At 35.5% G+C, this 14,277-nt stretch overlaps 1 protein-coding gene across 1 annotated transcript in view, besides 1 other annotated feature; it reads right to left on the bottom strand.

Annotated features, from left to right (window-relative positions):
* PSMD14 (proteasome 26S subunit, non-ATPase 14) overlaps window positions 1-14,277 on the bottom strand; it is a 103,293-nt gene that overhangs the window by 8,988 nt on the left and 80,028 nt on the right. The window contains exons 9-10 of the mRNA NM_005805.6: window positions 11,552-11,626; window positions 7,527-7,652 (exon numbers count right to left, since the gene is read on the bottom strand). Of these exons, the coding sequence (NP_005796.1) occupies window positions 7,527-7,652; window positions 11,552-11,626 (201 nt within the window). The remainder of the gene's footprint in view (window positions 1-7,526; window positions 7,653-11,551; window positions 11,627-14,277) is intronic.
* Window positions 5,054-5,213: a silencer, noted in NCBI's record as "fragment chr2:162254028-162254187 (GRCh37/hg19 assembly coordinates)". NCBI's record gives its function as "represses an EF-1alpha promoter that drives an FKBP-Casp9 reporter gene in an ReSE screen in K562 erythroleukemia cells {active_cell/tissue: K562}" and the evidence as "EXISTENCE:reporter gene assay evidence [ECO:0000049][PMID:32094911]".

Here is a 14,277-nt window from a genome sequence, read left to right as displayed (position 1 = left end):
CAAGAGTTCTTTATAGTTTCTTTTTTTTTTTCCTGTTTTTAATTCTTGTATACTTTCTTTTCATTTTTGTTTTGTTTTGTTTTGTTTAAGAGACAGAGCCTTGCTCTGTTGCCCAGGCTGAAGTACAGTGGTATGATCACGGTTCATTGCAGCCTTGACCTCCTGGGCCTCGGTGATCCTCCCACCTCAACATCCTGAGTAGCTGGGACCACGGGTGCATGCCACCACACCCAGCTAATTCTGTGTGTGTTTGTGTAGAGACAGGGTCTCTCTATGTTGCCCAGGCCTTGAACTCCTGGGCTCAAGTGATGATCCTCTCCTGCTGTGGCCTCCCAAAGTGCTGGGCTTACAGGCATGTGCCACCACACATGCCTTTCTATTTTCTAGATATTAGACCTTTATCAGATACCTGATTTGCAAAAACGTTCTCCCACTTTGTAGGTTGTCTTTTCTCTTTTTTTAAATAGTTTTCTTTGATGCATGACCAATATGCATTTTAGAAAGATCATTCTACAGAATGGAAAATTGATTTGAAAGGGAAAGACTGGAGATGCAAGCAAACCAATTAAGAGGTAAGGCAGTGGAACTGGCAATGCGAAGAGGCAGATTAATTCAAGAATTTAGTCAGAATGGTTTACTGATTGAGTAGATGTGAGAAAGAGAGAGGAGTCAAGAATATTAATAACATCAGAAGTGGTTGTAGCTATCATTTTATTAAATGCCTATCATGTGCCAGATACTTCACATATATCACAATCCTTAACCTCATTTTAGAGATAAGGAAACACAGTTCAGAGAGGCTGACTTGCCTCTAGCCATACACACAATAAGCAATGACACTGGGGCTTAAACACAGTCCTATGTATCTCCAAAGACCTCAAAGAAACATTCATGGCAATTGGGGAAATCATTACTTTTCACTGATACAACCTGAATAATAATAATAATAATGTCAAATGCATGATTTATTAAGTGGCCCTAAACAACATAGTTGCTTCATAAAAATTTCACAGAGAATTCAATTTCAGAATGTAATTACATGAAATAGAGATGAATAATAAAGATCATATATGTATGTGCACACATGCTTGTGTGTGTATATATGTATGTAAGAGAAACTGTAGTTAAGGTTGTTGGAAAAAATTTCTATGGCAGAATCCGACAGTCACCTTCTTAATGTCCATCTTCCCCTTCTTCTGCTGTAACATAACTCTGATTTTACTAAAGGTATCAATGACCCCAGCTAAAAGACCACATTGCACACACTGCATAAGCTTTCTTGCAGCTAGTTGCGTCCATTTAACTACGTTCTGTCAAATGAGATGTACAGTTGACCCTTGAACAAATGGGGATGAGGGTTATGGGTGCTAACCCGTCACAGGTGAAAATCTGTATGTCACTTTGACTCTCCTCAAACTTAACTATTAATAGCCTACTGTTGACTGAAAGCCTTACTGATAATATAAACAGTTAACACATATTTTGTACGTTATATACATCATATACTATATTGTTACAACGAAGTAAGCTAGAGAAAAGAATATGTTATTAGGAAAGGTGTAGGGAAAAGAAAATACATTTACAGTACCGTACTTATTTATCAATACAATAAGTTTACATTATCTGTTTACAAGGTGAATTGCCTGTCTGAAATGGCAGGCAACAGCAGCTGCAGACCTCTATCTATAGTACATATCAAGCAATTCAACTTTCTTAACTGAGAATGGTGCCATGTACATCTATGTATGTATACATTTTGACAAATTTTTATTTTATAGTAGATTAGTGTATGTTTTATGGTAGCAAATGATAAAACAGACTAGTGTCTCCTATATTTTATGCGTTTGTGACATACCTTGTTTTTTTTTTTCAATATTTCTGGGCTGCCAGGTGCTATGGCTCATGCCTGTAATCCCAGCACTTTGGGAAGCCAAGGCAGGCAGATTGCTGGAGCCCAGGAGTTCAAGACCAGCCTAGGCAACAGAGTGAAACCCCATCTCTACAAAAAATTAGCCAGGCATGATGGCACATGCCTGTAGTCCCAGCTACTTGGGGGGCTGAGGCAGGAGGATTGCTTGAGCCCAAGAGGTGGAAGCTACAGTGAACCATGATCATGCTATTGTACTCCAGACTGAGTGACACAGTGAGACCTTGTCTTTAATAATAAAAATAAAAATAATAATTCTGGGCTATGCAGTTTGAGGTTTTTTTCAAATTGTTGTACATCTCAAAAAAGATTCTAATATATTTATGAGAAAAATCCATGTATAAGTGGCCCTATACAGTCCAAATCCATATAGTTCCAGGGCCGGTTGTAATCAGGAGTGCTGTGTGGAACTTATGGAAAGGATCCTGAAAGGAAACTGATTTATCCCCCTTTTGCCCTTTCTTCTCTTCCTGTTGCATGAAACCCAGATGAGATGGCTGAAGCTATCGCAATCACAATGAATCATGAGGTGACCTAAAGGAAGAAAGCCAACACAAGGAAAGCAGAGCAGAGAGATAGAAGGAACCTGGGTCTCTAATGTCTTTGAAGTTTTATATTGGACTTGAAATATGAGACATACCTTTCTACCTTGTTTAAGCCATTGTTATTTTGAGCTAACACAACCTTAGATCTAAGTATTACTTGTTTAATGCAAAAACTGAAAATAATTCAGGCGTTACATAAAGTATAGGAGTCTCCTGCCTCACACACACTGTTACCAACACAATATGTTGACATATATGCAAGATAGAGATACTTTTGAAAAAGGGAGAGAAGATAACGTGATAGGAATTATTTTAACATTGTTATACAATTTAATTTTGTACATCTAACAGCAGGTTGTAGATATTTCTGTATGTTTTTGTGAAATTTTATTTTTCATAATAAATCCTTTAAAGAGAACATGTGGTTTAAAGAGTTATATGCACTTAAAACTGAAAGACGGCCTCCAAAAATGTATCAATTACTTTCCCACTAGTGGTATATTTTCCTAAAAAAATTCTTTTTTATTTAAAAGGAAAAAATATTTTTCTATTTATTTTAACTTTTTTTGACGACTTAAAAAGGCTAGAACTTTTCCATGTTTATACACCATTTGTCTTCAGTGAGTTTTCTCTTTTGCTCAACTTATTTTAAAAAAATATTTTATAGGCAAAGACTACAAATTGGGTGCAGTGTATATACTGCTCAAGGGATGGGTGCACCAAAATCTCACAAATCGGCATTAAAGAACTTACTCATGGAACCAAACACCACTTGTTCCTCAATAACTTACAGAAATAAAAAACAAAAATAAAATAAATATTTTATAGGAATTCTCTGAATATTATGCATTTTTGGATACTAGCTCACTCTGTGTTATAGGTAAAAATATTTTCTTCCATTCTGACTCGTAACAAACACTCAGTAAATGTTAGTTGTTATTTTATGAAGATAAACTTTAATGTCATGTTATCAAATTTTTCAAAGCTCACGTTAATATTCTTACTAGAATTATAGTAACCTTTGGGAAGCCTGACAGCAGCTTTACAATACTAAGTCTTCCCATTTGGAAACATGGTTATGTCCCAATTTATTTACAAATGTTTTTCATTTTCTTCACAAAGGTCATACACACTTATACATTTACATTTCTTGTGATGGTTAATTCCTGAATATTTTTATAATTTTAGATGGTACTGTGAACTGATTTGCCTATTATATTTTTCAACTGTTTTCAGTTTATATAACTGTTTACCACCTACATAATTCTTGATTAAAACAGTTCTAAGAGTTTTCTAAGTTTATTCTCTTAGATTTTTATGTTTGATTGCAAACACATTCTATCATATCCAAATAATAATCATCTTACCTGTTTTCCCCAATATTTATATCTGTTGTTTTTATCATATTGTACTACCAAATGAGATTTCTCCATTTAATATAGCTACTGTATTAAACCAATTGTAATTGTATATTTACATATTTCATATGTAAGCATATAAAAGAAATACTGAAACTTTCTTTCAGGTTACTAAGTAGGTCAGTATTTCTACCTGAACAGTAAACCGTCAGATCTCCAAATTTATAGCACTACATGCTTGGGAAAAAAAAGGCAAATTTTTGTTTCTATGCTATTCTTAAAATGTTCTTCACAATTCATTTTTTCACCTGCACATTCATTTACAAATATGTAATCAAACATTATCAAAATTAAAAAAAAATAGCAGATGCATCTCCGCATGAATAAATTAGGAGACTTGGAGTAACAGAACTGTGGGTGTTGTGGTTCAGTAATTAGAAAAAAATCAAATGTCTAATAATAATCAAGCAGAATTTGTGTGGAATTCAGACTTGAAACTGAAAACTTGGGACGTAAGAATTTAATTATTCTCTAACCTTCTTTTACTTTAGGACCTAACTGGCATCCAACAGCAATTACCTTAGCTTAAAACACCAACCAATTAAAAAGAATACTATGAAGAATTGGTAGCATGGGCCTTTCTTTTTATATTTTAAGTGTTACTAAAAAAACCCACCGTATTTCTTTCAATCACAGAGGGAATTACATTCCCAAATTTGGACTCTTTCATATCACAGCTTACACATTGTTTTCATTTTATAACCAAACCTTACAAGTTTTTGAGTACTACAGAGATTTTTTAAAACTGTAAAATAGGAAAAACTTCTGTAGATGGGCAGCAGTAACCATAAATAGGTTATTTCCTGGCAGTAGTACCAATACAAATTTACTTAAACGTGTAATGTTAAAGAGAAATGAAAACCATTCCTACAGTCTGCTGAATAATTACTTAAGTCATAACTTTTTTACTTATAAAAGGTTAACTATTTAAAATACGGTGAGCGATTTATTTCTCTTTATCTAATCTCCACAGCATGAAAACGTATACTAGAAAGATAAGAAATATTTTCCCTACAATCTAGCACTAATGGGGATTTCCAGTTGAAACACTATAATCAGGGCATACTTTTCAAAGCCAACCCTAATTCTGCTGGGATTTCATTTGTATGGGCCCATCAACTTTATTTTAAAGCTTAGTTCTCTCAAAAGTCTTATTGCTACACTTGGTAAATTTTATACACTGTCTCTTGGATAAAATATTTTTTAAGATGTATTTATTTTTAAAAGGGAAATACTACGTTTTGGTGTAATAACCAACAACAATCTTAACTATGATCCTGAAATCTTGAGCTCTAGCCTTTACCATTAATTCCTAGTCCCACATTCTAATTGCTTCCTTAAAAATAAACTCTTTACCTCCTTCCTCAATCCTTCTACTTCTACCTAAATTGAAAATGCTAATGGTACTACCATACTACTGGTCACCCAGGCAGGAAACTTTGAATTCCTCTTTGATTCCTCCTCCTTCTTTCACTTCGTCTATCCGACCAGTGCCATGCTTTATTTATTTGCCTATTGGTACCTCCATTCCCACTGCTACCATGGTAATCCAGACTCTTCGTACCTTTTGTTTGGGTAGTAGCAAGCTCCTCTTAAACACACTCTCCATTTCAAATCTTCTCTTACAGTGTTCCTTCTATACTGTTGTGAAATCATGTTTCTAAAGTCAGGTTCTAAGCATATCATGCCTCTGATCAAAAATAACTCTTAGGCCAGGCACGGTGGCTCATTCCTGTAATCCCAGCACTTTGGGAGGCCAAGGCAGGTGGATCACCTGAGGTCAGGAGTTTGAGAACAGCCATGGCCAACATGGTGAAACCCCGTCTCTACTAAAAGATATAAAAATTAGCTGGGTGTTGCAGCGGGCGCCTGTAATCCCAGCTACTTGGGAGGATGAGGCAGGAGAATCTCTTGAACACAGGAGACAGATGTTGCAGTGAGCTGAGATCACCCCACTGCACTTGAGTCTGGGTGACAGAGTGAGATTCCATCTCAAAAAGCAAACAAACAAACAAACAAAAACTCCTCAAAAAAACCTCTTATCCTGACATCCCAAGTGCTATTACTAGACTTCAGAAACTTTTTAAAACTTAATTCCCCACTGTTCACCCTCACGTTCTATGCATGCTAGCCAAGCATATTGTTTCTTAAACATGTCCTATGTCTTTTTTGCTCCCCAACACCTTCCCAACCCACCCCGCTCCACCCAAACCTCACATTCCTGGTAACCACAATTCTACTCTCTACTTCTATGAGTTCAACTTTTTTAGATTCCACATATAAGTGAGATGATGTGGTATTTGGCTTTCAATGCCTGGCTTATTTCACTTAAAATAATGCCCTACAGGTTTATCCATGTTGTCATAAATGACAGGATTTCCTTTTTTTAATGGCTGAATAGTATTCCATTGTATGTATATCTATACACCACATTTTCTTTATCTGTCTGTTGATTGACACTTAGGTTGACTCCATATCTTGGGTACTATGAATAATGCTCCAATAAACATGGGAGTGCATACATCTCTTCAACGTACTGATTTCATTTCCTTTGGATGTGCAACCAGTGGTGGGATTGCGGGATCTGTTCTATGCCTTTTCTATCTCCTAGCCCTTGCCTGTGATGTTTATTTTGCCTAGGGTAACATTTCTTTGTATGTTCAAGTCTTACTTATGCTTTAAGGCCTAGTTCAAATGTTGTTTATCTGTAAGGCAGCAACCTGGGTGTTGGCCAGCTTGAAAGTCAGAGCCTATGAGCTCCTACAGGGCTTCCCATGGTCTTCTCTATGGTAGTGTTTCTCTAATGTCTAACTACAAGAGTAGACATTGGAGAGCTGGTTAAAGCGTAGATTTTGAGCCATTAGGTCTGAAAGTCTGCATTTCTAACAAGATTCTAGGTGATGCTAATGTAGCTGGTGTGTGGACAATCTGAATATGAAGGTGTTATGGTACAGACTGATTTTTAACTAATGCCCTGGTTATTTAGAAGCTTGTCTAACTGTTCCTGTTTTCCTATAAATAAAGCAAGGATCCATTTTCTATTATAACTTGTATAAGAGATGTTCAATAAATATTTGTTAATATAACACTGCATAATGTATAAATGTGTATTTTAAAATTGTAGGTTTTCAACCCATTAATGAGTTGCAATCTATATGTATACATGTATGATATGCCTGGCACATTAGATTTTCAATAAATAATTATTAAATAATGGAAACGTTCATAAAATAAATTAGACACAGCAAGTAGTAAGTGCTGTTGTTATCTATATCCCCTTACTCCTTGTCCCTTTCAAGAAAAAAATACCCTAAATAATGAAGAGATTTCAAATGTGCAACTGTATTACATGGTCTACAACAGGAGTTGGCAAACTATAGCCCATGGGACAAATCTGGCTAGCTGCTTGTTTTAATAGATCCCAAACACATTCATTCTTTTACATATTGTGTATGGCTGCCTTTGCATTACAAAGGCAAGGGTGAGTAGTTGCAGACCAGATGAACTGCAAAGCAAATATTTACTATTTTATTTACAAAACAGGATTCTCTATTTTTAATTACTTACACAATGCTTGGCATCTAATCATACATATTCCAAAGATTATAAAGAAGAAATGGCAGAAGTAACTTTTACCTTATTGTAATTCTTGGCTAATTCCAACATCTCTTTTACCACTGATTCATTGTGTTTACAATGTTCACTGTAGTCCTGAAGTGTCAAACCTTCCATCCAACTCTTCTTATGCAAATTTAGCAACATCTAAAAAATAAAAGAAAAAGTAATTCTTTTTCTGCCTTGAGGATACCCCCTTCATTGTCTAGAGAAAAAAAACTTCAAAAAAAAAAAAACATTTCGACTTAATGGATTTAACTTTATTAATTCAAATGAACTCCAATTAGAATGCTCCTATATTTGTATTAATATAACTTAAGGAGTACTCCAACACCAAGGCCTTTGCATTTGCTGTCCTTCTACCTAGAAGGCTATTCTCATCTTTGCATAACTTACCTTCCTCTCTTCCTTACAGATAGATGTCTTCCCTAACAACAATATACCTAAAATAGTCACACTACACTACCTTAAACAAAATCTTTCTTCCCTTAACCTGCTGTATTACTTGTATAATGCTTACAAAGACCTGAAATTTTTGTTTACTTGTTTACTGCATTTCTCTCCCACTAAAGGGAAATCAAGAAGGCAGGGACTTTGCCCTATTCATTTCAAGATCACTAGGGTCTAAATTCTAGAACAATATCTAATAATAGCTCAATAAATATCTGATGAATGAATGAATTAATGAAATTTATAAGTATCTCTAATTTTTCATATAGCCTAGCTTTCAAATGCCAAGATAACGAGATAAATGCCCCATTTATTGAGTGACCTTGTGTCAATCTTTCTGATCCTCAGTTTAGAGATCTATGAATTAAGGGGCTTGTATTAGGTAATCTCAAAGTTTCCTTCAAATTCTGGTATTCCATCTATAATTTAAAAACTTAAAACTTCCTTATTGTCAGGATGAAAAGCCATGAAAATCTTTTATTCTCAAATAAAAGATTTATCTAGGCCGGGCACAGTGGCTCATGCCTGTAATCCCAGCACTTTGGGAGGCCAAGGAGGGTGAATCAGTTGAGGTCAGGAATTCGAGACCAGCCTGGTTAAAATGGTGAAAGCCTGTCGCTACTAAAAACACAAAAATTAGCTGGGTGTGGTGGCAGACGCCTGTAATCTCAGCTACTTGGGAGGCTGAGGCAGAAGAATCACTTGGACCCCGGGAGACGGAGGTTGCAGTGAGCTGAGGTCACGCCACTACACTCCAGCCTGGGTGACAGAGTGAGACTCCAAAAAAAAAAAAAAAAAAAAAATTATCTAGTGTGCAATCACACCAGCAAATTGGGGTTGGATTCTATATCAGTGATCATGAAACTAAACACCTTAGTTCAATGTTTCTCAAATTGGACTTACAATTCTGAGTACTTATTCTTAGATGTTCCTAAGTTTTCAAGTTTATATTTTAAGACGGTTTTTCTTAAAGTCCTACCCTACAAATTTTCTTCAATTGAGGACCATCATTAAATAAGAAGTTTTTTCCCTTTGGATGATTCACAAAATTGTGAAAAGTAAAAGAAAAAAAATGATGGCTATAAAATGACTGTTGTTTCGTCAATAGAACCATTATACTTTAAATGAGATCCCTGAGCCATAAGAATCTGAAGATGTACTTGGAGGTATATGGGGGTTTAGTTTAGAAAAATTATCCTACTTGCTTAGAAGTTTACAGCTATTTGTGGTACAAATTTTATCTTACATTGGAAAATAAGCTGCCTGTCAAAATCACCTATAAGGCTTTTGAAGATACAAAACTCCTCCATTCCCTTCCTTTGGCTCCAAGGACACTAATTCTCCCATTTTCTCCCATGGCTCCAGGGGTAAGGACAGTATGCCAAAAAAAATTAGGAAAACCCTCCACAGATGATTTCAGTTTCTCTGATTCCTTCCTAGCTTCTCCACTGATACTGTTCTAGAAAATACATGTTTGGGAAATGTGGGTGCTGCTACAACTACCTATGCTATACAGCTACCTATAATTAAGTGTTGAGACTCAGATTTCCCTACCACTTCAAAAGCAAACAAAGACAGTTCCCAAGGAGCAACAGGATATTCCTATCATACCTGGACAAGGATTCCCTTGCGACCCTCGAGTAAGGCTGGGGGTTAAGTAAACAAGTTGTCTGGATAAGAGTAAAGGCAGAGCTTTTGTTACCAAGAAGGCAGGTTAACAGCTAAACTGAGCTATTAAGAACATAAACATAACATTAAGTAATTTATGTAAGTGCTTATATATTTGCTTTTTATGCCAAGGAAAATGGCTAAGTTTATGAGATACTCCCCAAAAAAAAAGAAAGAAAAATTGATGTAATTAGCTAGACATTTCCAAATAGATGGGTGTCAGATATCAGTCTGATAAAATATTTATATTCTGAATGAATTTTGTTTGTCCCTGAATGGTGCCATTTTTCACAGACTGTACTCATTCCATGTAAACTTAAAAATAAGTGTTAAAAATACACTTAATCAACTAAATCTATCACAGCAGAAGTAAACTGTGGTACACAGGCAGGCAATTAGAAGAGAGCATTATAAGATCCCCTTGCGCCAAGGGGGAAGTGGTCCCCCACTCCCCTCACTCATCACATGCTCAAGCACTGGGCCCTTCAGATGAGTTTATGAGTGGATTTGACCTTTTAAAACTCTAGTTTATCAAACTTAAAAAAACAAAATTAGAATTCTTATTTCAAGGAAAATCTTATATTGCACATCCTCCCCCCCAGCATATAGATTAGATTAAAAATGGATGTGATCTGGTTGAAAGAGGGGGTAAGCGTGGAGAGCCCAACTCACTCCATCTGCCACTTGCCATGTACCAGAATCCCCTTCTAAGACACCTTGGTGAGAAACAGTTTGGGCTAGATAGAATGATCTTATTTGCTACTGATTACTTATCACTTTCTGACTTGACAGCGGTCTCACTAACCAAAACTTACTGGCTATCAATCAACAGTAAACTCAGTGTTCTTTTAAAAAATGCTTTTAACTTTCCCAGAGAGAAATACAAGAAACTAATTAGGTGGATGACTAATTGTAATAGTAAAGGGGGGAAACTGGTTCAGATTGTAATATCAAAAAACAACAGGCAGATTTAAATACTTGGCATTAGTTGAGAGAAAAACTGTACTAGAAATAATCCTAAAATAGAAACAAATGAGAATGCTAATTCATCAAAACGTCAGGTAATGTTAAAAACTAATCAAACTTGAAAACTGGTATAAAATGGGATCAGAATCTAGTACAAATTATCTGAAAACCCTAAAACTGTTTCCCTTTGACTCAGCTTAGTTTTCTTTAGAGTAAACATGGTATGTTTTCTAAAAGCACTAGGCTGGGTGCAATGGCTCATGCTAATGATTGCAGCACTTTAGAAGGCTGAGGTGAGAGGATCACTTGAGCACAGGAGTTCAAGCCCAACCTGAGCAACAAAGCAAGACTCCGTTTCTACCTCCCACCCACCACCCAAAAAATAGCCAGGTGTGGTGGTGCATGCCTATAGTCCCAGCTACTCGGGAGGCTGTAGAGTGAGGATCCCTTGGGCCTAAAAGTTCAAGGCTGCAGTGTGCCATGATCACACCATTGCACTCTAGTCTGGGAGACAGAGCAAGACCCTACTATCTCTTAAAACAAACAAACAAACAAACAAAAAGCACTACACAACTGCAATTTAAGTTATTCCTCTCAAATTTACAGAGCAATATATTACTAATTTAATTACAAAAGGCCTTTTTATTGAAGAAGATAAGTTAATCAGAAAAATCACAGAACTAAAAGAAATATTTTTATGACTTATCATAAAACCAAAGTGGAACGTTTGATTTATTTCCTACTTCCTCTCCCACTTCAGCACCTACCAATAAGGTGAAATGTGTCTTTAAATAGTCCAATAAAATATTCCCTTATTTTGTGCTGCAATTCATCAATAATGGAATAATATTTGGAAACACTGAAAGAGGTCAAAAATTCGAATTTAAATCACATACCAGGTAATAGTTTAAATGGTTTGAAAAAGATTTTTTTCCTCCTATAAGATAAAAATTTAAACTTACCTTCTGTTCCAGTTCATTTTTCCGATAGTTAATAGTAATGGAGTAATAATGTCTGTTTAGTCCATGAATTAATGCCTATATAGATAAATGATTTTAAAAAGGACAAATTAATATTTTTCACCTAATAAAAATGTTTGAAACTGTTGATATATTCTTACATAATACCTGTACCATCCTCTAATAAAGGCATTTTATTTCAAGTAAATTAAGATGAAATTAAAGTATTCTTCTTAGCTACAAGTTTAAAACTAAGGTTTAGAGGAACGGGTTACACATTCTTCAAAGCATGATATGGAGGAGCACAAATTAAGCAGTTTCAGTAGCCTTGCTCAGTCAGAGATAAGGTTTGATCTTATCATAAGCTAAGTTTATAAATCATTCATAATTTATTAAATCTAACTTTATGATATCTAGGGGGCTCATGGGTATTTCAAATGAAAAGCCTAAAAAGCCACAATAACACAGCTGTTTCTTTACCCACATTAATCTGGAATTCCCCTTTTCCTAATTCAGTTTTGATTGATTCAAATAATTATGTTATGCATGTCTCCAAATTAACTATGTGGATTTTGGTCTTTACTGGGTCTGTCTAGCTCATGCTCTTATCCAGTGACATGCAATCTCACCAACCAGAATTTTTTTCACCTCACTCTGTCTCCAAGGTGAACAGGCCAATCATAATAAAATCTTAAGCTAATAGCATGGCTTTATTAAGAAACAATAATCCTGGATGTCCTGAAATCAATTCACAACTGCCCCCATATCTAACTCTGACAACATCAAGTGTTCAAATGAGGTTCAACAGTACTCTGGTGGACCTAAAGGATCCTCTGGCAGCCTAGAAAAACATGAAAGTCAGAAATAAACCTTTAGGGATATTTTTAACAAGTATAAAAACAAAAAGGACTTTGGGGTTAACCCTCAGGAATCTAAAGAGAAAAACTAACCAAAATAACCACCACTTCTCTAACTAATAGACTTTTACAATGTAGGTCTTAAGATGTCACTGAGGTAGAGGAAGAAGGGGTAAAGAAGAGAACATTTAATGAGCAGCTAGTATCTGCTTTACACATTACATCTTCTAATCTTCATAGTACTGTAAGGTAGGGCAATTCAATTTGTATTTTGACAGATGAAAATAAAATGCAGGGTCGGGCTCAGTGGCTCAAGCCTGTAATCCCAGCACTCTGGGAGGCTGAGGCAGGAGAATCACTTAAGCCCAAGAGTTCAAGACCAGCCTGGACAACATAGCAATACCCCATCTCTAAAAAAAAAAAAAAAAAAAAAAACAACAAAAAAGAAAGAAAATAAGACACAAATATTAATTTGTCCAAGTTTCTAGCTAGTAAAAGGCTAGATGGGGATCTGAACCTAGGTCATTCTGATTCCATAGCCTATGTTCTTTCTAACATACTATGCCACAATACATGTCAGGAAATTCTTGGATTAAGTCTATTTACTTTAAGGATCAGGATGAAACAAAGCATTATGTTAATTTTTAAGCTTTGCTAGCAAAAATCACTCCAATGAGTATTAAAATATTTTAGATGAGTACTTTAACAATAGATTCTTATTTTACCAATGTCTGTTATAAAAGTGAGCTATGAAATTCCATAGGGAGCAGTGACTGATTGTAAAGTACCAAGAGTGTATATTAAATCCTTACTCATTTCAATAATCATCAGAAGCAATGAATTAAATTTTAGTGCATAAAAATGCTATACTGTACAGATCAAAAAGTAGAAATGATCAGGGCTTCCTTTAATCTGTGCTCATATTCGTGTACATTAGGAGGTGAATCAGCCTGGTAGAGAATTAGAAAAAGGTGCTCAGTCCTCTAAGCAGACATAGTCTGGCGTAGAGAGTGGAGCTTGAGCTGGAAGCTCCCTCATCCAAGCACATTTGCGCGATGCACTCACTACTTGCACAACCCTACATGGTGGTCATAAAGCTAGTAACTGCTGTAGCCAATACATACAGAAGCCAGTTAATGGACTCACAGATACTAGGCCCTATATTTTTGAGACTAACTGTACTAATGAAATATTAACTGGTGTCTGAAGGCACAATCTACTTGATTTTCAATTACATTATATAGATAAAAGCATTAAAACTAACACAGACAGCATGAAAGATCAGCAGGTATAACAATAACAAAACAAAGGTAAGTTTAAATCAAATGATATCCTCAAGTAGTCTTTCAATTTCACTTACTCACCTGCTGTGTGCCCCCAGTGCCTTCCTCCCAAATCATAAGTCAACCGGCCATGTCCTTTTTGGGTTCATGTAGAACTACACAAGACCAACTGACTTATGATTTTACCTCTATGCACTCACTGCTGTGGAAAAGCAGGTGCATTATAAAACACACGGCTTACGGATTATATATAAGCTATTCATGGGTTCCTGATAAGTTTTTAAAAGTTTTCATGCTCCTTAAAAAGGTGTGCTTGGATCTAAAGACAAATTTGTTTGCCTTAATTTATTTTATATTGATAAACTGAAAATACGGTGGTAACTGATATCCTTTAAATCACGTTCTAAAATGAAGCTTTTTGAATATAAATAGAATAACTGAAAAGAAACAAAATGTGTTTTGTGGTTCCCTCTAGAGTGGAGAACTGAGTTGCAGAAGGCAAAAGAGGAAGGGAGAGTTTTTGCTAAATGACTTTGTACTTTAAATTTTTTTAACTGTATATATATTTTCTATGCCAAAATTAATTAAT

Source organism: Homo sapiens, chromosome 2 (genome assembly GCF_000001405.40).
Source record: "Homo sapiens chromosome 2, GRCh38.p14 Primary Assembly".
In the NCBI taxonomy this organism is placed as follows: domain Eukaryota; kingdom Metazoa; phylum Chordata; class Mammalia; order Primates; family Hominidae; genus Homo; species Homo sapiens.
Note: the sequence above shows the minus strand (reverse complement) of the source record. Positions and strands in the feature narration are given on the sequence as shown.